The 21,580-nt window shown below is 52.6% G+C and overlaps 2 protein-coding genes and 1 long non-coding RNA gene across 5 annotated transcripts, besides 7 other annotated features; 1 reads left to right on the plus strand and 2 right to left on the minus strand.

Annotated features, from left to right (window-relative positions):
• YPEL3 (yippee like 3) lies at positions 51-3,950 on the minus strand. Of its 2 annotated transcripts, NM_001145524.2 has the most exons (5): positions 3,834-3,950; positions 2,989-3,171; positions 2,840-2,883; positions 2,526-2,634; positions 51-536 (listed from the first exon to the last, which is right to left on the minus strand). In NM_001145524.2, the coding sequence occupies exons 2-5, from the start codon at positions 3,103-3,105 to the stop codon at positions 447-449; spliced, it is 360 nt and encodes a 119-aa protein (NP_001138996.1). In that variant the 5' UTR covers positions 3,106-3,171; positions 3,834-3,950; the 3' UTR covers positions 51-446. The 2 variants fall into 2 exon arrangements, with proteins under 2 accessions (NP_001138996.1, NP_113665.3); NM_031477.5 differs by having other exon boundaries at positions 2,989-3,950.
• Positions 131-320: an enhancer, noted in NCBI's record as "active region_10690". NCBI's record gives its function as "activates an Ori minimal core promoter by ATAC-STARR-seq in GM12878 lymphoblastoid cells {active_cell/tissue: GM12878}" and the evidence as "EXISTENCE:reporter gene assay evidence [ECO:0000049][PMID:35858748]".
• Positions 3,770-4,376: an enhancer, noted in NCBI's record as "H3K27ac-H3K4me1 hESC enhancer chr16:30107354-30107960 (GRCh37/hg19 assembly coordinates)". NCBI's record gives its function as "activates a minimal SCP1, AML or CMV promoter by ChIP-STARR-seq in naive H9 embryonic stem cells {active_cell/tissue: H9 hESC(naive)}" and the evidence as "EXISTENCE:reporter gene assay evidence [ECO:0000049][PMID:30033119]".
• Positions 3,770-4,396: a biological region, named in NCBI's record as "H3K27ac-H3K4me1 hESC enhancer GRCh37_chr16:30107354-30107960".
• Positions 3,847-4,196: a silencer, noted in NCBI's record as "silent region_7353". NCBI's record gives its function as "represses an Ori minimal core promoter by ATAC-STARR-seq in GM12878 lymphoblastoid cells {active_cell/tissue: GM12878}" and the evidence as "EXISTENCE:reporter gene assay evidence [ECO:0000049][PMID:35858748]".
• On the plus strand, positions 4,167-13,193 carry YPEL3-DT (YPEL3 divergent transcript). Its single transcript, NR_135192.1, has 2 exons — positions 4,167-5,156; positions 11,194-13,193. It is a non-coding gene; the product is annotated as a YPEL3 divergent transcript (long non-coding RNA).
• Positions 4,257-4,326: a silencer, noted in NCBI's record as "silent region_7354". NCBI's record gives its function as "represses an Ori minimal core promoter by ATAC-STARR-seq in GM12878 lymphoblastoid cells {active_cell/tissue: GM12878}" and the evidence as "EXISTENCE:reporter gene assay evidence [ECO:0000049][PMID:35858748]".
• Positions 4,347-4,396: a silencer, noted in NCBI's record as "silent region_7355". NCBI's record gives its function as "represses an Ori minimal core promoter by ATAC-STARR-seq in GM12878 lymphoblastoid cells {active_cell/tissue: GM12878}" and the evidence as "EXISTENCE:reporter gene assay evidence [ECO:0000049][PMID:35858748]".
• On the minus strand, positions 12,547-21,274 carry GDPD3 (glycerophosphodiester phosphodiesterase domain containing 3). Of its 2 annotated transcripts, NM_024307.3 has the most exons (10): positions 21,077-21,274; positions 20,759-20,801; positions 20,395-20,530; positions 20,260-20,305; positions 20,043-20,161; positions 19,869-19,958; positions 19,125-19,258; positions 16,110-16,169; positions 15,950-16,001; positions 12,547-12,746 (listed from the first exon to the last, which is right to left on the minus strand). In NM_024307.3, the coding sequence occupies exons 1-10, from the start codon at positions 21,213-21,215 to the stop codon at positions 12,609-12,611; spliced, it is 957 nt and encodes a 318-aa protein (NP_077283.2). In that variant the 5' UTR covers positions 21,216-21,274; the 3' UTR covers positions 12,547-12,608. The 2 variants fall into 2 exon arrangements, 1 of the variants encoding a protein (NP_077283.2); XR_007064912.1 differs by lacking the exons at positions 12,547-12,746; positions 15,950-16,001; positions 16,110-16,169 and having other exon boundaries at positions 19,155-19,258; positions 19,869-19,954.
• Positions 21,245-21,539: a silencer, noted in NCBI's record as "tiled region #9068; K562 Repressive DNase unmatched - State 5:Enh". NCBI's record gives its function as "represses a minimal TATA promoter and a strong SV40 promoter by Sharpr-MPRA in K562 cells {active_cell/tissue: K562}" and the evidence as "EXISTENCE:reporter gene assay evidence [ECO:0000049][PMID:27701403]".

The raw sequence follows: 21,580 nt of genomic DNA on the forward strand, positions 1-21,580 counted from the left end.
GGAAATCTCCGCTTGAGCTCCCCCTTCCCGGATTACACGCGAGCCTGAGCTGTCTCCACTCCATTGTTTTATTATGTACAAACGCTACAGAACGAGGGGGACAGACACGCGTGGGGTAAGAAGGGCCTGGTGGGAGGAGTTCACAGAGCAGACGGTGCACTGGGACCAGGAGAGCAGAACACAGGCCATAACTATAGGGCAGGTGGGGCAGGAACGGGTTAAAAACGAGATCCAAGCCAGCCAGATCGCAGGAGGTGCGGGGGCGTCGTCCCCCTTCTGTTCTCCCCCCAAGGTCACAGTGCATGCAATAAAATATATATACAGGAGCTAGATCCGTCCTCTGCAGGGGCTCTGAGGGTCCAGAGCTCCCTTCGGGTGGCGGGAAGCCAGTGGCGCTCCCTGGCGGCCAGGCCGGGCTGGAGCCACATGCGTCGGGGGAGCGGGGGTCAGTCCCAGCCGTTGTCTTTGATCATGTGGTTGAGTTCAATGATGTACTTCCCCTCTTTGTACTTCTGGCTGCTCTCAAAGGCCTGTTCCTGAAAGGAGGGGCGGGACCGTCATCCCCGGAGCAACAGTCTCACCACAAGGCACTGGGGTTGGGAAGTGGACATGAGTGGCCCCATTTTACATATGAGGAAACTGTGGCCCAGAGGGGCAGGGCCGTATTTCTCACAAACACAGAGTAGAATAGAACTCCCTGACTCAAAGGTACTTTTTTAAGTACTAATGATGGCTCCAACAGAGAAGATAGGGAAGTGGCTAAAAGATTTCACAGTTCAGGGTTTGCAAACTGGTAGCTTCATGGCCATTTTGGCCTACAACATGTATTATGTTTGGACAGCAGACAGTTTAATAAAAATAACTTTAAAGTATTAAAATATAAGTAGGCCTTGCTCACTCCAGTTTGCCCAGCCTGCCCCCAACTCCCAACCCTGCCAATCTATGCTACCCTTTACACATCTACAGTATCTGCTTGGCCTTGCAGGCACTTGAGGTTTTTTTGTTTGTTTGGTTTTGAGAGGGAGTCTTGCTCTGTCGCCCAGGCTGGAAGTGCAACGGCGCGATATCGGCTCACTGCAACCTCCGCTTCCCGGGTTCAAGTGATTCTGCTGCCTTGGCCCCGAGTAGCTGGGATTACAGGCGCCCACCACCACGCCGAGCTAATTTTTGTATTTTTAGTAGAGATGGGGTTTCACCATGTTAGTCAGGCTGTTCTCGAACTCCTGACCTCAGGTGATCCACCTGCCTCAGACTCCCAAAAGTGCTGGGATTACAGGCGTGAGCCACCACACCCAGCCTGGCACTTGAGTTTTTGACCTCTTGTTTAGGCCAGCTCTTTATTAATTATTATTATTTTTGAAACGGAGTCTCGCTCTGTCTCCGCTCACTGCAAGGCTCTGCCTCCTGGGTTCACGCAATTCTCCTGCCTCAACCTCATGAGTAGCTGGGACTAGAGGCGCCCGCCACCACACCCAGCTGATTTTTTTTTTTTTTTTTTGTATTTTTGGTAGAGATGGGGTTTCACCGTGTTAGCCAGGATGGTCTCAATCTCCTGACCTTGTGATCCACCCGCCTCGGCCTCCCAAAGTGCTGGGATTACAGGTGTGAGCCACTGTGCCTGGCCGGCCAGCTCTTTATTTGGTAGAGGTCCAGAGTGGCCAAGCCACCTGTCCAGAGACACACAGCCAATCTGTGGCAGGGTCAGCAGCGAGCTCAGGTCAGGGCTGGCTGGCTGGCTCTGCCTGGGACATCCACCTCACAGAGGCACCACAGTTCCAAGCGACGCCTGAAGAATCCTGTCCCTTGCAGTGTCCCAAGAGCATCTTCCTGAGCATCTAATCTGATCCCTGTAACAATCCTGGGTGCTAGGCAGTGGCTTTATCTTCCACTGAGAGATAAGGAAATGAGACTCAGGGTAGTGAAATCAGACCCTGGACAGCAGCAGTGGCAATGAGGACTATGGAAAGGGAGGCTGGTGAACCCAAGCTCCATGTTGTTGCAGAGTCTGGGGCAATTTTTCTGATACTCTAAATGACAATATAAGCTGGTGACCAAGGGTTTGGAGTGAAAAAAAAAAACCAACCAACCAACTCAGATTCTGGTCCCTATTCTGTTACTTACCAGTTGGGTGATCTTGGGCAAGTTACCTAACATCTCTGGGCCTCCCTGTCTTCTTCTGTAGAGATAATAATAGCTTCTACCTAGAGGATCACTGCAATGATTGAATGAGATAATAGACGCCAGGCACACAACAGTGCAAGGCACATAAACATTCCATAAATGGTGACTCTGATTATATCCTAACTCTCTAATGGGGATCCAAGTGCCTGGGAGAGAAGGGATGGGTTAAGAGAAAAGTTCTACACCCCTTGCAAGGTGCAAGATAAAGAGAATGTGGTCAGGGATGCTGACTTGTGTGAGCTCGGCCTATGCAATCTGAAAGGCTATAGGGTGACAGCTTGTCAGGAGGAGGTGTTGGAAGGTCAGGTCAAAGGCTAGCCTGGGGTCAGAGGTGGGTGACTCACATATTTCCAGCCCAAAGTGGTCTTGCAGTTCTCGCAGTGGATGTCGGCGACAGCATGGAGGCCGGTCAGCAGCACCCGCTCCTCGGCTGGCCCGCAGCCCACGTTCACCCTGTGGGGACATGGGGTAGTCCCAGGGAGGGTCCTGCCATCACAGGGCCCACCCCCTCAAGCACTGTGTCTGTCCTCAGCATCCAAGAAATGATGCTCACAATTTCCTGCCTGCACCGGGGAACTCTGGGAGTCTCAGCAGGATGCCAGGGGTCACAGGTCACAACAGAGGTCAGGGAAAGCAAGAAGGGAGGCCAGATACTCACACTGAGTTGAAGAGGTAGGCACGCCCCTGACTGCCCTGGAAGGACTAAAGGGTGAGAGGGTGGGAAGAGAGGAGGGGGTCAGGGCTGCCGGTGGGGAGCTGCCAGGCAGCCCCTATAGGTTCCAGCCCCACTGTGGCCTGGTTGGTTACCTTGGAGATGAGGTCGTCGTGGTTGGCCAGGTGAGCGCGGCAGTGGGCACAGCTATACCTCCGGTGACAATCATCCAAGTAGGCCTGAAACGTCTTGGGCTTTGAAATCCGCACCATGGCGGGGGCCGGGGGCAGTGGCCCCACGCGGGGAGCGGCCCACGGGGAGCAGAGGGAGCCCAGTGCCTGCCGGGGAGGGAGTAGGTGGGCTGTCAGGACCTGGGCCACACACATGCGAGGCACTCCCAGAGCCGTGGGGACTCGCTCTGTCACACTGGGCTGCTCTCTCCTTTCCCCAGAGCCAGCAGCCTCTCCGGGGACCAGAGGCGTCTCGGTTTTGACTCAGTGAGGAGGCCTCAGGTTGCATCCATGGGGAAACTGAGGCTCGGAGGTGCCCAGGGTGAGTCACCCGCCTGCTTCCGGCCTCACCCTTGCTGACCTGGCAGCTGAAGCTGGAGGAAGGGGCTTTGGAGGGGCTGGGCTGTCAGTTCCCAGTTTCGGGGGAGCATGGGCGGGTAGGCACTGGTTGGTCCTTGCGACCTCATCTGGAGAGCAGTGGGGTTCACTGGTGGTTTAGGGGGTTCATCGGGGAGAGGGTCCCCCACCTGGAGGAGGTAGGAGGCCTCGCCGTGAAGGTTGAGGGTCACCTAGGAGGGGAGGGGCTCTCACCTGCGGGCGCCAAGGCCTCCTCTACGCTCAGGGGCTCTTACCTGCAACGCGGAGCCTTACCTGGACTCCGGGGCTCACCTGGGGCGCGGGGGTGGGGGCGGGCGCCGGGGGAGGGGGCAGTCCTCGCGGGCTGGGCAGGGGCGCGGGGCGACACGCAGCCCTGACGGCGCGGGCCTCACCTCGCCTGGGCGCGCGGGGCCCGGTCCGCCGGGGTGGGCTGGCCTGGGAGTGGGGGGCGCTCCTGGCGGGCGCCGTCCCCCCCGGGCCCGGGTTCGCAGGCGCCTGGACTTGTTTACACCGAGCCCAGCTGCTGCCGCCGCTGCGGCGGGAGGGGGAGGGGACCCGCCTCCTGTCCCGGCGGCCGCCGTGGCCAATGGGCGCTCCGCATGCAAATGAGGGGGCGCGTCACACGGCGGCCGGCGCAGGCCCCGACCGCCCCTCCCCCGCCGCCCGCTCCCGCCGGCCCGGAAATGCGGCTGCGGCCCGCGCGCCCCAGGCCTGCTCGCATTCCTGCTTGTGGCCCGCGCAGGGGCGGGGTCGGAAGGTCTAGGCCGGGCGCGGAGCGAGGAAGCGGGTGGCGCTGGGACGCATGCTCTGGGGGAGATGAGTATAATGACCCGCGTTTGTCCGCCGCCCGTGCCCCGCTCAATCCCCGCATCAATCCCGTGAGGCCGTTTCTCCCGTTGGCTCCACTGTACCGGGGGCTGAGGCCCAGGGAGGTCTCGCGGCTCCCTAGGTTATCCAGCTAGTAAGAGGCGAAGCTGGAATTCTCACTGTGGGCCCATTCCATGGCTTTTGCCAGAGCGCCAGGGACACACTCAGTTCACCTTCTAGCAGGGAAGACCCAAAGATGCGCGCCCCTGGCAGCCAGGGCGTCGGACCAGGCAATTCCTACTGTCCAGCATCACCTCCTCCAGGCCTCTCGGATGCCTCTGTTGGGACAGCTAAGTTCCTCTTCAAAGACTCAATTTCCTGGTCATAAGCTGTAAACAGATTCTACTCCCGCTTTTTCTTCTTTGTCGCACGTCTACCCTATTTGGGAAAGTTTAAACCTTAGCCAATCGGGATCAGCTCAGATTGTGCGGTCCAACCCCCCAGCCAATGGGGAAAGGACACAGAAACAGGAACTGCGTTAGGGTTAAAAACCACTTCCCTCCTTTGTTGGCGGGTGCTCTTGGGATTGCAACCAGCGCAAGCAGCACCCTTCTGCAGAAGTAAAGATGCCTTGCTGGGAAGTCTTCTGTCTCAGTGCTGGTTTTTCTTGACTACACTGAGCACTTGTTTTCAACAAATTTGAGGGTCTTCTGGGATCCCATTCTCCTTTGGGAGGGGTAGCGATTACTTTTCCTCGTGAGACACGTCCCACTGCCTTGTTGCAGTGGCCCAAGGAGCGGAGGATCGGGTCCACCCAAAGTGAGGAATAAATCCGGACTTTCAGCAACGTGGGCAGGAAGGAGCCTTAAAATTCCCAGGCAAGTGGGTAACTCTGTGCACAGACCAAGGTAAGAAAAGTTGCTACTGGGGCGACAAAGTATTTCCTTGGTGGTTGGGGTCACTTGGAGGTTGAAAGTGCATGGCTGAGACATGTCAGTGGACACGAATCGAGTGTGGAGTCCAGACTTGGTTCCATGGTCACCTCATAAGGCTTAGGGCGGTTTTCCAGTCGGGGATTATACCGACCCGCTAATGCTAAGAGGGGCCTGAAATTCCCACGAGGGAAGCGGCCAAAAAGTACGAAGCGATTATTCATATGAGTGCAAGAAACCTCCAATGGGAAAAGGGAGAGGTTAAGCCCCTAGGAAATGGGCACCAACCTCCAGAATGGGAAATACCCCAAGTAAGACAGGGAGTACAAAAGGCCAAGCAGACAATAAAATTCCCCCTGACAGTCCTCTGGGCCTTATGTTAGAGTACTGGAGGTATAATGAAAGAACCATGTAACACAAGGAAAGACAGTGAATGATAAAATATTGCTGTTTTATTTGGACCAAAGAACCTATCCTCAGACCCTCAGTCTTTTGGCCAAAGTTTGGATCAGACGAGGATTGGATATGCCAACTCTTAATCCAGTATGTTAATAAAAAAAGTCCAGTCTCTCAAGAGGAAATAGATTATGCTCTGTGTTGGAGACAGGAACATGTCCTTCCCTTTCCCTTAAAGGATGACGTAAAAGAGAAACCAAACTCAGTACCCTCCTAGGACAACCCAGTTAAGTCAGATTCTACATCTAAAGATGCCAATGTATAGGATCCCCTAGACCATCTTCCCCCGCCTACCCCACCTCAGGCTAATCACTCAGTCCCTCCCCCACATAACCCTGCCCTGTGGGCCTTGTGGCCCCACATCCCCATTGAGCAGCCACCCGAACATGTCCTTTCCTCAGGAAAACTCCAGCACGAGATGGAACAATGCCGGAGGGATATTCAGAACTTTCCTTTTCCCTCTTCCTCAAAGGGGTCTGCCCCAACCCCTTTTCCCTTAAGTACCACTGGGAGGAGGGGGTATTGGTTTCGTAAATGCCCCCTTAACTAGTTCAGAGGTTAGAAATCTGAAAAAGGAACTCAAACCATTATCAGATGATCCTTTTGGAGTCACAGATCAAATTGAACAATTTTTAGGGCCGCAATTGTATACTTGGGCTGAATTAATGTCCATCTTAGGTATTCTCTTCTCAGGGGAGGAAAGAACCATGATCCGCAGGGCTGCTATGATAGTCTGGGAATGTGAACACCCTCTTGGTCAAAACATCCCTGCAGCAGAGCAGAAATTCCCAGCCCAGGACCCTCAGTGGAATAGGAACAATGCAGCCCACTGAGAAAACATGAAAGACCTCAGGGATATGATAATTAAAGGGATTCAGGAATTGGTGCCTCAAACCCAAAATATTTCTCGAGCATTTAATGTACACCAAGAAAAAGATGAAGGGCCCATGGAATTTTTAAAGACACTTAAGGAGCAAATAAGAAAATATTCAGGCTTAGACATAGAGGACCCACTTGGACAAGGGATGTTAAAGCTCTATTTTATCACCAACAGTCGGCCGGACATTAGAAAGAAATTACAAAAGATAGAAAATTGGCAAGACTGCTCCATAGAGGAACTTTTAATTAAGAGAGGCTCAAAGGCCGGGCATGGTGGCTCAAGCCTGTAATCCCAGCACTTTGGGAGGCCGAGGTGGGTGGATCATGAGGTCAGGAGATCGAGACCATCCTGGCTAACACGGTGAAATCCTGTTTCTACTAAAAAAATACAAAAAATTAGCCGGGCGTGGTGGCGGGCGCCTGTAGTGCCAGCTGCTCAGGAGGCTTAGGCAGGAAAATGGTGTGAACCTGGCAGGTGGAGCTTGCAGTGAGCTGAGATCACGCCATTGCACTCCAGCCTGAGAGACAGAGCAAGACTCCGTCTCAAAAAAAAAAAAAAAAAAGAAAGAAAGTGATTAACTCTGATTTGGGTTCCACCGTCAGATTTATTTATTGATTTATTGATTTATTTATTAAAAAAAAATTCCCAGGGAAGTGGTCAGGAGAAAACGATACCCTATTCCCTTAGAAGCTAGAATGGCTCTAAAACCTATAATTGAGGGCCTCGTCCATGACGGACCCCTTGAACCCTGTATGTCCCCTTATAACACTCCAATATTGCCTGTAAGAAAGTCAGATGGGTCATACCGGCTAGTAGAAGACCTCTGGGCTGTTAATCAAACAGCTCAAACTACCCACCCTGTTGTTCCCAACCCTTACACTATTATCAGCAAAATCCCATATGATCACCAGTGGTTCACAATGATAGATTTGAAAGATGCCAGCTGGGCACGGTGGCTCACACCTGTAATCCTAGCACTTTGGGAGGCTGAGGCGGGCAGACTGCCCGAACTCAGGAGTTTGCAACCAGCCTGGGCAACACGGTGAAACCCCGTCTCTACTAAAATACACACACACACACACACACACACACACACACACACACACACGCCAGGCATGGCAGCATGTGCCTATAATCCCAGCTACTCAGGAGGCTGAGGCAGGAGAGTTGCTTGAACCCAGGAGGCTGAGGTTGCAGTTAGCCGAGATCGTGCCACTGCACTCCAGCCTGGCAACAGAGCCAGGCTCTGTCTCAAAAAATAAATAAAATAAAAAATAAAAAAAGAAAGATGGCTTTTGGGCTTGCCCTTTAGCGGAAGACAGCCGGGACATGTTTGCTTTTGAGTGGGAGGACCCTCACTTAGGTCGAAAACAGCAGTACCAGTGGACAGTCCTACCCCAGGGGTTTACAGACTCCCCAAATCTATTCGGTCAAATTTTAGAACAAGTCCTAGAAAACTTTTCCCTTCCTTCATCCATATGCCTACTCGAATAGGCAGATGACCTGTTCATTTCAGGAAATAGCAAGGACCACATAACCACAGTTTCAATTAACTTCCTGAATTTCCTAAGGGAACAAGGGTTACGGGTCTCAAGGAGTAAAATTCAGTTTGTAGAACCTGAGGTAAAATATCTAGGACACCTAATCAGTAAAGGCAAACGGAAAATAGTACCTGAACGAATTGAAGGTGTCACATCTCTACCTTTGCCTGAAACAAAGCAGGAACTTAGAAAATTCTTGGGATTAGTTGGATACTGTCGTCTATGGATTGACTCTTATGCCTGAAAAACAAAATCTCTACATAAAAAACTCACCCAAGAAGGACCAGACCCCCTTCTTTGGACCCTATCAGAAGTCCAACAAGTAGAAGAGTTAAAACACCTACTTGTAACTGCCCCCGTTATAGCTTTGCCCTCCTTAGCCATTCCACCTTTTCATCAGTGTAAACAAGGGGTTGGCTTTAGGGGTACTCACCCAAAGACACAGAGGCCACTGGCAGCCCATAGCCTTCCTGTCAAAAGTTCTTGACCCAGTAACCCACCGATGGCCCGAATGTGCCCAGTCTGTAGCAGCAACTGCTTTGCTAATGGAACGAAGCAGGAAAATAACCTTTGGGGGAAGCCTCATTGTATGTACCCTTCATCACGTTAGAACCATTCTTAATCAGAAGGCAGGAAGATAGCTCACTGACTCAAGGATTTTAAAATGTGAGGCTATCGGGTGGGTGTGGTGGCTCACGCCTGTAATTCCAGCACTTTGGGAGGCTGAGGTGGGCAGATCACAAGGTCAGGAGTTTGAGACCAGAGTGCCCAGCATGGTGAAACCCCCTCTCTACTAAAAATACAAAAAATTAGCCAGGCATGGTGGCGCACGCCTGTAATCCCAGCTACTTGGGAGGCTGACGCAGGAGAATTGCTTGAACCCCGGAGGCGGAGGTTGCACTGAGCCGAGATCAGCCACTGCACTTCAGCCTGGGCAACAGAACGAGACTCCATCCTCCACCCACCCCCCAAAAAAATTGAGGCTATCTTATTAGAGAGGGATGATTTAACATTGACCACTGGTAGTTCGCTCAACTCCGATGTTTTCCTAACAGGAAATCCGAACCGGGAGGAACCTGAGCATAAATGTTTAGATCTGATCAGTTATCAGACTAGAGTCAGACTGCATCTAAGCAAGACCCTGTTCCAAACTGGGCATTACCTCTTTATAGACGGCTCCTCTCGGGTAATTGAAGGAAGGAGGCATAACGGGTGCTCTGTAGTTGACAGGGAAACCCTCATGGAGGTAGAGTCAGGGAGACGGCCCAATAACTGGTTCACTCAAACATGTGAACTCTTTGCATTAAATCAGGCCTTAAAATCTCTGCAAAATCAGGAAGGAACTATTTACACTGACTCCAAGTATTTTGGAGTAGTCCATACCTTTGGAAAGATCTGGACTGAACGAGGCCTCATTAATAGTAAGGGCCAGGACCTTGTCTATAAAGAATTGATTATGCAAGTACTAGAAAATCTTCAACTGCCAGAAGAAATAGTGGTGGTCCACGTCCCAGGACACCAGAAAAACCCATCTTTTGAAAACCGGGGAAATAACCTCACAGATCAAGTAGCCAAGCAAGTTGCCTCTTCCTGAGAGGCACCCATTTTCCATCTGACCCCTTGCCTTCCCCTCCAGTCGCAATCCCCATCTTCTCCGACGCGGACCAAGAAAAGTTAAAAAGAATAGGAGCTAAGGAAAGCTCAGAGGGAAGGTGGGTATTACCAGACGGGAGGGAAATGCTGTCTAAACCTCTTATGAGGGAAATATTATCACAGCTTTATCAAGAAACTCACTGGGGTCCCCAAGCTATGTGTGACACAGTCCTCAAAGCCTATGGGTATATAGGAATCTCTACCCTCGCTAGTCAGGTGGCGGATAGTTGCCTAGTGTGCAAAAAAACTAATAAAACCCGAAGGAAGCAGCCTTTACTTTATCAAGGGAACCACCCCTATAATTGCCAATCCAACCAGTGCAACCCAGTACTTACCTCTATTACTACCCCTACCTCCACCGACCCTAACTCCACTCTAGGTTGCTTCTATGGCTTAGGAGCCGATGTTACTGGAAGGGACCCTATAGGCTTCTTTGAAATATGTTTTGTTCACCCTTCTCCACCTCCTACCGTCTCCCCCTCCCCAAGCCCACCAAATCAAACCATTCCTCACCTCTTACCCAATGACAAAACCAAAGTAGCTATAGTAGAAGTCAAGGACTTAAAGCAAACCCTAGCCATTGAGACCGGGTATCAAGATGCAAATGCCTGGCTGGAATGGATTAAATATTCTTTTCGCACCCTGAATAAAAGCGATTGTTACTCTTGTGCAGCGGGCAGGCCGGAAACCCAGATTGTCCCCTTTCCACTCAGATGGGCCAACCAACCAGGCATGGACTGTATGGTAGCTCTCTTCCAGCACACCACAGCCTGGGGAAACAAGACGTGCGCCACTCTTTCACTACGTTTCCCAAAGATCAGGAGCCCTACGGGTCAGCTCCCAAGGACCATTTGACTTCCACCTCTCAATGCCAGTTACACCTTGTGTCTCCCACAACAGGACAAATTGACGTTCCTTGGAAATCTAATGGGAGTCTAAACCTTTTCAAGAGCTAACCAATCAGTCAGCCCTTGTCTATCCCCGAGCAGATGTATGGTGGTATTGTGGACTGTTACTGGGTACGCTGCCAAGCAATTGGAGCAGCACTTTTGCTCTAATCCAGTTGGCCATCCCTTTCACCTTGGCATTTCATCAACCAGACAGGAAGCAAGTAACCCAAAGAAAAAGAGAAGCCCCTCGTGGGCCTTTGACCCCCATGTTTACATAGACAGTAGCAGGGTCCCACGGGAGCTACCAAGTGAATTTAAAGCTTGGAATCAAATAGCCGCTGGGTTTAAGTCTGTTTTGTTCTGGTGGTCTGCTATAAATAAAAATGTAGACTGGATAAATTATATATACTACAGCGAGCAGCGATTCGTCAGTTATACCAGGGATGCCATCAAAGGAATAGCTGAACAATTAGGCCCCACCAGCCAGATGACCTGGGAAAATAGACTAGCCCTTGACATGATATTGGCAGGAAAAGGCAGAGTCTGTGTCATGATCTGAGTCCAATGTTGTACTTTTATCCCTAATAATACAGCCGCCGACGGGACCATCACAAAAGCTTTACAAGGCCTTACCACCCTGGCAAATGAATTAGCCGAAAATTCTGGACTAGATAACCCTTTTATGGGTCTCATGGAAAAGTGGTTTGGAAAATGGAAAGGACTCCTGGCTTCAATCTTTACCTCTCTTGCAATTGTAACAAGTGTACTTATCCTTGTGGGCTGCCGCATCATACCTTGTATTCGTGGGTTAACTCAAAGGCTCATAGAAACAGCCCTCACTAAAGCCTTCCTCTCTTCTCTCCCTCCATACTTGGACAAGCTCTTGCTCCTGGATAATCAAGAAGAACAACGAAGCCAAATCCTGTTAAAATTTTTTGCAGAGGAAGAAGTATCAAATAGAAGAGAGGAAATTGTTGGGACAGCTAAGCTCTTCAAAGACTCAACTTCCTGGTCATAAACTTCTCCCCGTTTTTCTTCTTTTTCGCCAGTCTACCCTGTTTGGGAAAGTTTAAACCTTAGCCAGTCGGGATCAGCTCAGATTGTGCAGTCCATCCCCAGTCAATGGGGAAAGGACACAGAAACAGGAACTGCGTTAGGGTTAAAAAGCCCTTCTCTCCTTTGTTTGGGGTGCTCTTGCGATTACAAGCTGCGCAAGTAGCACCGTTCTGAAGTAAAGATGCCTTGCTGGGAAATCTGTCTCAGTGCTGGTTTTTCTTGACTACACTGAGCACTTGTTTCCAACACCCCTGTGCTCCAGGCTGGGTTAGGTCTGATCTCAGGGAATGTCTGTTTCAACACGTGTCTGCAGTTCTTTGGCTTGTGTTGCTCACTGCAGTGGGCCCAGCCTGGTCTAGAGGAGGCGCTCAGGAAGTATCTGTGAAATGTGAATGTGTAGTTCCTTCAGTGAATATGGCCCTGGGGCTGAAGATGGCAGAAGCATTCTGGGAGCTTCTGGAGAAGGAGACCTGGGAGGAGAAGGTTGGAATGGCGGGGGCAGCAGAGGGGCTGGGTGAACTCAGCTGTCCCACCCAGGCCCATCCTCTGCAGCCCGAGAAGGAAGCTCACAGGGCAAGACATGGAAGAGATCAAGTTCCCTGCCCGGTGCCTGGGCTGTTGATGGCCTCAGGAAAATGGAACCATTACCTGTTGCTGTCAAGTGGCTGGGGGCCAGGATGCCTGGGTTGGCCGTGAGAGGACATTGCTGAGGAGAGTGGAGGCCAGGCTGGGGTGGGGTGTGGCAGGAGGACAGGAATGCAGTGGAACCAGTGGGTCAGGCTCCTGAGGGCCCCAGGCTCCAGCCTCAGGGCTGGCCTGTTCCCTCCTAAGCTGCCATCTTCATATCTTCAGGACCCACCCCTCTACTCCTCACCCTCAGCACAACGATGTGATCGAAAGGCAAATATTTATTTTTCAGGAAGAGAAACAGGAGACCTCGAGGCTTCTGGACTTAGGAGGTCCGGGCAGCTGGTCCATGGTTGTCCAGGTAGTGCCGCAGGGCTGTGGGATAATCCGTTATGACGCCAGTGGCTCCCACGCTGAAGGCTGCTTCAAAATCCGACTCTTCATTAAGGCACCAAAAGACCACCTGAGCAGGGAGGGAGGGGGCCTGTAGATTCTGAACAATTTTACATCTGGAGAGTGGGGACCCACCTCCTCCTCTATGGAGACTCCCCAGCAGCAGTAGGCTGGAGCTGATTGTTAAATTCTCAGGAATTTTGCAAAGTGGTTATTAAACCCAGCCATTATTAAAAATTAAATCATAGCCTGGGTGCAGTGGCTCACGCCTGTAATATCAACACTTTGGGACGCCGAGGCAGGAGTTGAGGCCAGGTGTTTAAGATCGAGTGAGACCTCATCTCTACAAAAAACTTTGTAAAAATTAATTAGCCCGGTGTGGTGGTATGCGCCTGTGCTCCCAGCTACTTGGAAGACTGAGGTGAAAGAATTGCTTGAGCCCAGGACTCTAAGGCTGCAGTGAGCTATGGTTGCACCACTGTACTCCAGCCTGGGCGATACAACAAGACCTCGTCTCAAAAAAAAAAAAAAAATTATATATACTGACAATTAAATTATTTATTTATTTATTTATTTATTTTTTGAGATGGAGTCTTGGTTTGTCACCCGGGCTGGAGTACAGTGGCATGAACTCGGCTCACTGCAAGCTCTGCCTCCCGGGTTCACACCATTCTCCTGTCTCAGCCTCCTGAGTAGCTGGGACTACAGATGTCCGCCACCACGCCCAGCTAATTTTTCTGTTTTTAGTAGAGATGGGGTTTCACCATGTTAGCCAGGATGGTCTCGATCTCCTAACCTCGTGATCCACCCGCCTCGGCCTCCCAAAGTGCTGGGATTACAGGTGTGAGCCACCGCGCCCGGCCCTAAATAAATTATTAAAACAACAAGTGGCCAGGCGTAGTGGCTCACGCCTGTAATCCCAGCACTTTGGGAGGCCGAGGCAGGCAGATCAACTAAGGTCAGGAGTTCGAGACCAGCCTGGCCAACATGGTGAAATCCCATCTCTACTAAAAACAGAAAAATTAGCTGGGCGTGGTGGCGGGCGACTGTAATCCCAGCTACTCAGAAGGCTGAGGCAGGAGAATCGCTTGAACCCAGGAGGTGGAGGTTGCAGTGAGCTGAGATCACGCCATTGCACTCTAGCCTGGGCAACAGAGCAAGACTCTGTCTCAAAAAACAAAACAAAACAAAAAACAAAACCCAAAACAAACAAAAATCCAGTAATAAATATTCAAAGCATATCTCTTGCTAATCAGTTTCCTATTACTGTGTTCTTGAAGTGATTAAGTCTGTTGAGGCTGCAAGATGGAAATACTACATGATGGGGTGCCACCATGCATCTCTTCCCATTCTGCATTTAGTGGCTTCATGTCGGCAGCCTGAAACTGGCCAAGATGGGAGTATTTAAACCAGGAAAATTAATCCTCAAATCAGGGCTTTCATTTGTTCCTCTCTGAGAGCTAGTTGTTGACCACTTAACAGCACCACCCTCCCCCAAACCCCCATTCCACTGCCACCTGCCCCAGCTCCTGCAGCTCTGCCCCTTCCCTGCCCGTTGAGTGGGCACTGAGGTAGGCGGAGATGGGAATTTTTTATTTAAAAATACAGATGAGACGAGGTCTCTCTGTATTGCCAACACTGGAGTGCAGTGGTGTAATCACAGCCCACTGTAGCCTTGACCTCCTGGGCTCAAGTGATCCTCCCACCTCAGCCTCCTAACTAGCTGGGACTACAGGCATGCACTACCATGCCCAGTTAATATTTTATTTATTTATTTATTTATTTTTGAGACAGTCTTGCTCTGTCGCCCAGGCTGGAGTGCAGTGGCGTGATCTCGGCTCACTATAGCCTCCAGCTCCTGGGTTCAAGTGATTCTCGTGCTTGAGCCTCCCAAGTAGAGCTGGGATTACAGGCATGCGCCACCATACCCGGATAATGTTTACATTTTTAGTAGAGATGGGGTTTCACAATGTTGGCCAGGCTGGTCTCGAACTCCTGACCTTAGTTGATCCGCTGGCCTTGGCCTCCCAAAGTGCTGGGATTGCAGGCATGAGCCACTGCACCCTGCCTCTGCATTTTTCTTTTCTTTCCCTTTTCCTTTCCTTTTTCCTGTTTCCCTCCCTCTCCTCCCTCTCCCTGTCTCTGGCTCTCACGCTCTTTCCTCTCTCTCTTTTGAGACAGTCTGGCTATCTCTCCCAGGCTGGAGTGTGGAGTGCAGTGGCGTGATTCTGATTATAGCTCACTGCACCCTCGAAACCCCGTGCTCAGGTGATCCTCCCATCTCAGCCTCCTGAGTGGCTGGGACTACAGGTGTAAACCACTGCGCTTGGCTAATTTTTAAATTTTTTGTAGAGACGAGGGTCTCAGTATGTTGCCCAGGCTGGTCTTAAACTCCTGGGCTCAAGTGATCCTCCCACCTTGGCCTCTCAAAGGGCTGGGATTACAGGTGGGAGCCGTGCCCAGCCTCTGCCTATGGCATTTCTTCCCTGTACCCTTGATGGGAAGCTCCCACCCCTAGTACCATAGTGCCTGGAACATTCTCAAGGATCGTTTACTAATTAAATGATCTGGTGGAAGCCAATGCTCAGGGGAGAGGGGGGTGGGCTGGGCCTGGTTTCTCCCATCTCTCATCTTTCCCCAGCCCCCTCTCATCAGGGATCATGATACATCATTGTTGTCATCATAATGGCTAACATTTATCAAGCCCTTAATAAGTACTAGTTACATATCCATATGTTGGCAATGTCAGGTTAAGAAAATATGTGCGTGGCCAGGCGTGGTGGCTCACACCTGTAATCCCAGCACTTTGGGAGGCTGAGGCAGGTGGATCACTTGAGGCCAGGAGTTCGAGACCAGCCTGGCCAACATGGTGCAACCCCGTCTCTACTAAAAACACAAAAATTAGCCAAGCATGGTGGCAGGCACCTGTAGTCCCAGCTACTGGGGAGGCTGAAGCAGGAGAATCGCTTGAACCCGGGAGGTGGAGGTTGCAGTGAGCCGAGATTGCACCACTGCACTCCAGCCTGGGTGACAGAGTGAGACTCTTGACACACACACACACACACACACACACACACAGAAGAAGAAAATTGTGTGTGTTCGTGTGTGTGTGTGTGTGTATCCAGAGAGTTAAATATACCATTTTCCCATTTTAGGGACGAAGAAACTGAGGTGAGGTCACCTGCCCGAGTGATGCAGCTAGTTGGCAGCAGAGTGGGACCGGAACCCTGCTGCCAGGTCTGTGTGCGGTGGAAGTGGTGGTCACGGCCTCACCTGCACCCCTCGCTCCTCCAAGTGTCGGATCAGACTCTTCCTCATGATCAGCCTGGGGGTGGGGTGGGGACGTGGGAGGTGATGATGAGAGGGGACCTGGGAGAAGGGCAGCAGTAGGTCTCTATGGGGACACGCCACCCAGCCATCTTGCCCACCTCACCATTTCGAAACCACAGCCAATAACTGGTTCAGGCAAGAGCAGGAAAATGGGAAATAGGTCCTGCAGAGAGAAGGAAGTGGGGGTTAGCTCCTAGGGTCTCCCCTGTCCCAGAGGTGGGGTGGGCTGGTAGTGCCCCCGCCAACTAGGGTAGCGCTGCCCTCCCACCCCCCAGAATCCCCCAGAATAACCTTTGTAGTTGCCCCAGTGAACAATTCACCCATTGTTCAGAGAGCCTACTCTGACCACCACGCTTCAAGGGTGTGGCCCTCCAGTCACCATTCACCAGATAAGGAATCTGGGCCTTAGAGAACGAAAGGGACTTGCCAGACCCAAAGCAGAGTGGTGGTGGGGCTGGGCCAGGGCCTCGCTTGGTTCCAAAGCTGGACATCCAGGCTGCAGGCCCTCCTGGTTGGGCCTGGCCAGCTTCTTATTTATCTATTTATCTTATTATTAATTTAAATTAATTTTTTTTTTTTTGAGACAGAGTCTTGCTCTGTCGCCCAGGCTGGAGTGCCGTGGTGCGATCACAGCTCACTGCAAGCTCCGCCTCCTGGGTTCACACCATTCTCCTGCCTCAGCCTCTTGAGTAGCTGGGACTACAGGTGCCCGCCACCACGCCTGCTAATTTTTTGTATTTTTAGTAGAGACAGGGTTTCACCCTGTTAGCCAGGATGGTCTCGATCTCCTGACTTTGTGATCCGCCCGCCTTGGCCTCCCAAAGTGCTGGGATTACAGGCGTGAGCCACCGTGCCCGGCCATTAAAAAATTTTTGTAGAGACATGTCTCACTATGTTGCCCAGGCTGGTCTTGAACTCCTGGACTCAAGCAATCCTCCCGCTTCAGCCTCCCAAAAGTGCCAGGATAATAAGCACGAGCCAGCCAAGTGTGGTGGCTCACACCTGTAATCGCAGCACTTTGAAAGTCTGAGGTGGGAGGAGACCAGCGTGGCCAACATGGCGAAACGCCGTCTCTACTAAAAATACAAAAATTAGCCGGGCGTGGTGGCAGACCCTGTAGTCCCAGCCACTTGGGAGGCTGAGGCAGGAGAATTGCTTGAACCCAGGAGGCGGAGGTTTCAGTGAGCCAAGATCGCACTACTGCACTCCAGCCTGGGCCACAGAGTGAGACTCCTTCTCAAAAACAAAAAACAATGGCCGGGCGCGGTGGTTCACGCCTGTAATCCCAACACTTTGGGAGGCCGAGGCGGGTGGATCACCTGAGGTCCGGAGTTCAAGACCACCCTGACCAACATGGAGAAACCCTGTGTCTACTAAAAATACAAAATTAGCCAGGATGGTGGTGCATGCCTGTAATGCCAGCTACTTGGGAGGCTGAAGCAGGAGAATCGCTTGAATCTGGGAGGCGGAGGTTGCGGTGAGCCAAGATGGCACCATTGCACTCCAGCCTGGGCAAAAAGAGCAAAACTCCGTCTCAAAAACAAACAAACAAACAAAAAACCCACAAAAAACCTCGTGAGCCACTGTGCCCATTGGCCAGCTTCTTGAGACCAGACAGCACTTAGTGGGACGACCCCTAATTATCCCACTCCAGGGGTGACTTTAGAGACCCTTGACAGTGTCCTAGGGCAGGCTCTGGAGTCAGACCCAGGGAAAACCTAAGCTCTGGATTTCCAGCTGTGTGTCCTTGGGCAAATTACAGAACCTCTCTGGGCCTCAGATTCTCTAGGGTACCATGGGAGTCATGATTCTTATACCTCCTGGGGGTGCTGCAAGGTAAAAGTCAACCCAAAATATGTTAAAACACTTTATAAATCTTGTATAAGGCCGGGCGCAGTGGGTCACGCCTGTAATCCCAGCACTTTGGGAGGCCGAGGCAGGCGGATCATGAGGTCAGATTACCATCCTGGCTAATACGGTGAAACCCCATCTCTACTAAAAACACAAAAAAATTAGCCGGGTGTGGTGGCGGGCGCCTGTAGTCCCAGCTACTCGGGAGGCTGAAGCAGGAGAATGGCGTGAACCAGGGAGGCAGAGCTTGCAGTGAGCCGAGATCACGCCACTGCACTGCAGCCTGGGCAACAGGGGAAGACTCCTCAAAAAACACAAAAAAAATCCGGTATAAAAAGGTGGTACACAAATATCATTGATCTCTTTGTAGCAAGGTATTGTGGGGGCTGAGTGGGACTTCCTTCTGGACAACAGAGGGGAGCAGAGAGCTCTGGGACTACCACAGAGAAGCTGTCAGAAAGCAAAGGGAGACCGGGCCCAGGGGCTCAGGTATGTAATCCCAGCACTTTGGGAGACCAAGGTGGGAGGCTCGCTTGAGCTGAGGAGTTCAAGAGCAGCCTGGTCAACATAGTGAGACCTTGTCTCTACAAATAATTTAACAATTAGCCAGGTGCAGTGTTGCACGCCTATACTCCCAGCTACTTAGGAGGCTGAGGCAGGAGGATCTCCTGAGCCCAGGAGGTCGAGGCGCAGTGAGTCATGATCTGGCCACTGCATTCCAGCCCGAGCAAGACTGTCTCAAAAAAAAAAAAAAAATTGTAAAGCAAAGGGAGGGACTAGGCTTAAGTGCCAGCGAAGTATCCAAATTCCTGATCCTTTCCCCAGCTGTTACTTTGTTAACCCCTGCCTTCCTGCAGAACACTGACTTGGCCTTTTCCTGCTGAGGGTCTGAGACAGCCGTGCTATAATTAATGAACGAATGTCTCCCCAGCCAGACTGTAAGCTCACCAAGGACCTCTCCCCACCCTCACTGGTCTCATTTACACATTATAACTGCACCTGGGACAGAGTAGACATTCAATAAAATATGCTAGATGGCCTGAGATGGATAAATTACCTCTCTATCCTAAAACTCCACATATGCACAGAATTTCAGGGTGTTCACAGTTCCCTTAGTATTCATGAATGCTGGGTAAGAACCACTGTCCTTAAAAGACCTTGGGGGTTATCTCTGAGGGGAGCTGGGGAGCTGGGAAGATCTGGGCTCCTTCTCCACGGAGACCCTAAGCAGTGGGGAGTTTTTCTGAGGTCCGCCCCCCACTGGTACCTGTTGATGATGTTGGGCAGGAAGCAGAAGAAGAACTTCTCAGGGATTGGGATGAAGGGCAGCAGCCCCAGGTAGTAGGAAAGCAGCACCCAGAATCCTCGGCTTATTGTGAAGGACAGGGGCATCTCGGGGTTCTGGGGAGGCAAGGAGAGGCATGAGAATCTGTCTGCTCTGGGGAAGCAGAGAGGAGGCATGAGCTGCAGGGGAGCCGTGGTGGGCATTCCAGAGGCCCTACTACCTGCAGGATCCAAGTCACATCTTGGGGCTGGGTGTGGTGGCTCACGCCTGTAACCTCAGCAGTTTGGGAGGCTGAGGCAGGTGGATCACCTGAGATCAGGAGTTCAAGACCAGCCTGGCTAACATGGTAAAACCCCATCTCTACTAAAAATACAAAAATTAGCTGGGCGTGGTGGCGTGCACCTGTAATCCCAGCTACTCGGGAGGCTGAAGCATGAGAATCGCTTGAACCCAGGAGGCAGAGGTTGCAGTGAGCCGAGGTCGCACCACCGCACTCCAGCCTGGGCGACAGAGAGAGACTGTGTTTCAAAAAAGAAAAAAAACAAAAGTCACATCTTGGCTCTGTGTTCGAGGCCTGAGTTCACACCCTTTTCATTGCCACCGCCACGCCACTGGGAACTCTCCCAGACCCCTCTAGCTCGGGTCCCCATGCTGGGTGGGCTCCAGCTCTGGGGAGGAGGGGCCCCTGGAGGAGGAAGAGGACGGGGGAGGGGTGGGGGGACTCACGGCAGCCTTGCATTTCTTCATGACCGAGCTCTTCTCCGAGGCCCAGATGGTGATTTCATTACGGTCATAGCGTCTCACCAAGCCTGCTATCTGGGAGGAGGAGAAGGAGGTGAAGGGAGAGCCAGGCCTCTCTCACGCCCCCGGTGGCCGCCCTAGCCCTGCCTGCAGCACCACCTCACGGATGAGCTCTTCGTTCTTCCCTTTGATCTCTACGCTCATGGGTGTCCTTGGAAACCTCTGGAACAGGTCCTCCAGACGAACCATGCGCCGGTCTGACCCGTGAGCAAAGTGGCCTGGGGGTGGTGTGGGAAAAGGGGTCAGAGGGAAGCCAAGGCGGAGGTCCAAGGAAGGCAGGCATGGCCCAGGCAGGGCTCGAAGCCCTTGCTCTCACCTGGAGAGAAGTAAACCTCCAGCTTCTCCTTGTAGAGGGGCAGGTCCTGGGGAGGACAGGAAGGATGTCACTAGAGGCCCGCATTGGGCATGGTGACTCTCAGGGTGGGGGTTGGGGTGTCAGGGCAGGGCCCACCTCGAAGTCCAGGCTGCCCACATCCCTGTTTAGGCCCGACTGGCGGCACAGGTTCTCATCATGTGACACCACCACCACTCTGTCCCGTGTCAGCTGACAGTCGAGCTCCAGGAGGTCCGAGCGCTGGGCCATGGAGCTGTGGGGGTGAAGGTCAGCGGGGGGCAGGGGCAGGGGACTGGGATGAGGGGCATGGTGGCTGGGAGGTGGCCGGGAATGTGAGAGCGGAGTTCGTGGCGGGATGTGCAGGCCACCTCCAGGGGGCGCCAGTCACCCAGCTAGGAAGTGAATGGCGTCCCTTGCTGTGATGCAGTCCACGACCTGCACACCCTCACATGGCAGCCTGGGCAGGGGCAGATACACTCACTTCTCCATGGCCTCCATGGTGTTCTCCAGCAGCTCTCCAGATCCTGTGGGGGGCACTGGAGTGGGCCTCTGGGGCTTGGGGTCTAGGGGCCTGGCCCAACCTCATCACCCACATTCCCTCTCTGGGCTCCATCCTCCCTCTGGCCTCACCTCCCCAGCCAGCCCAGGCTGCGCCAGCATCTTCTTCCTCGTCCACACCCTGCCCTGCCACTTCGCTCTCCTTCTCTCTTGGTCCCTGCCCCGTTTCTAGCATGCCCCCTTGGACCTACCCCTCTGTGCTGTCCACTTTGGCACCTGTTCTCACCCCTACCCGGCTCACCTCCTCGGTGGGCCCCCAGGCGGATGCGGAAGGTGGGAGCCCTGGGCGTGTGCAGCAGATGAGGCCGGCGCAGGAAGAAGATGGAGAGCATGGCATAGCTGCCCAGGGCAGGGAGGGCATAGTACAGCAAAAGGCTCATGACCGTACTCCCACAGAAGCTCCTGCAGCCACACGCTCAGCCGTCCGCGGGACTGTGCTGCCTGCCTAGCCAGTGTGGGCCGGCTCTACTACTGGCCACTGCCACGCCCCTGGGACCTGCTGAGCCTGCCGCTGGGCTGGCTTGGAGCCAGGCTGCAGGGTTCGGCTGAAGCTGGGGTAGTGTCAGGAGGTGAGGCAAGTAGCCCTGGCTCTCATATCCCCAGGCCCTTCCCAGCCCCCAGCAGCCCCGTCCTGGGCTACATGAGGGGAGTAAAAACCACCCAGGACTGTCAGGACCTCTCCCTCTCACTGGTACTTGTAGCCAGCGCATCCAACATGCCTACCCCTTGCCATTTCAGAGGATCC

This window comes from Homo sapiens, chromosome 16, assembly GCF_000001405.40.
Source record: "Homo sapiens chromosome 16, GRCh38.p14 Primary Assembly".
NCBI classification, from domain to species: domain Eukaryota; kingdom Metazoa; phylum Chordata; class Mammalia; order Primates; family Hominidae; genus Homo; species Homo sapiens.

Bases quoted from the DNA above. Each gene is read 5' to 3' on its own strand.
- YPEL3 (NM_031477.5), bottom strand. From the start codon at position 3,219: ATGTGTGTGGCCCAGGTCCTGACAGCCCACCTACTCCCTCCCCGGCAG. The intron at 2,884-2,988 runs GTAACCAACCAG...CTCACCCTTTAG, and splicing joins ACGACGACCTCATCTCCAAG to TCCTTCCAGGGCAGTCAGGG. The intron at 537-2,525 runs GTGAGTCACCCA...CCCTCCTTTCAG, and splicing joins CCACTTTGGGCTGGAAATAT to GAACAGGCCTTTGAGAGCAG.
- GDPD3 (NM_024307.3), bottom strand. From the start codon at position 21,215: ATGAGCCTTTTGCTGTACTATGCCCTCCCTGCCCTGGGCAGCTATGCC. The intron at 20,802-21,076 runs GTGAGCCGGGTA...TGCCCCCCACAG, and splicing joins CCTGGGGGCCCACCGAGGAG to GATCTGGAGAGCTGCTGGAG. The intron at 20,531-20,758 runs GTGAGTGTATCT...TCACCCCCACAG, and splicing joins ACCATGGAGGCCATGGAGAA to CTCCATGGCCCAGCGCTCGG.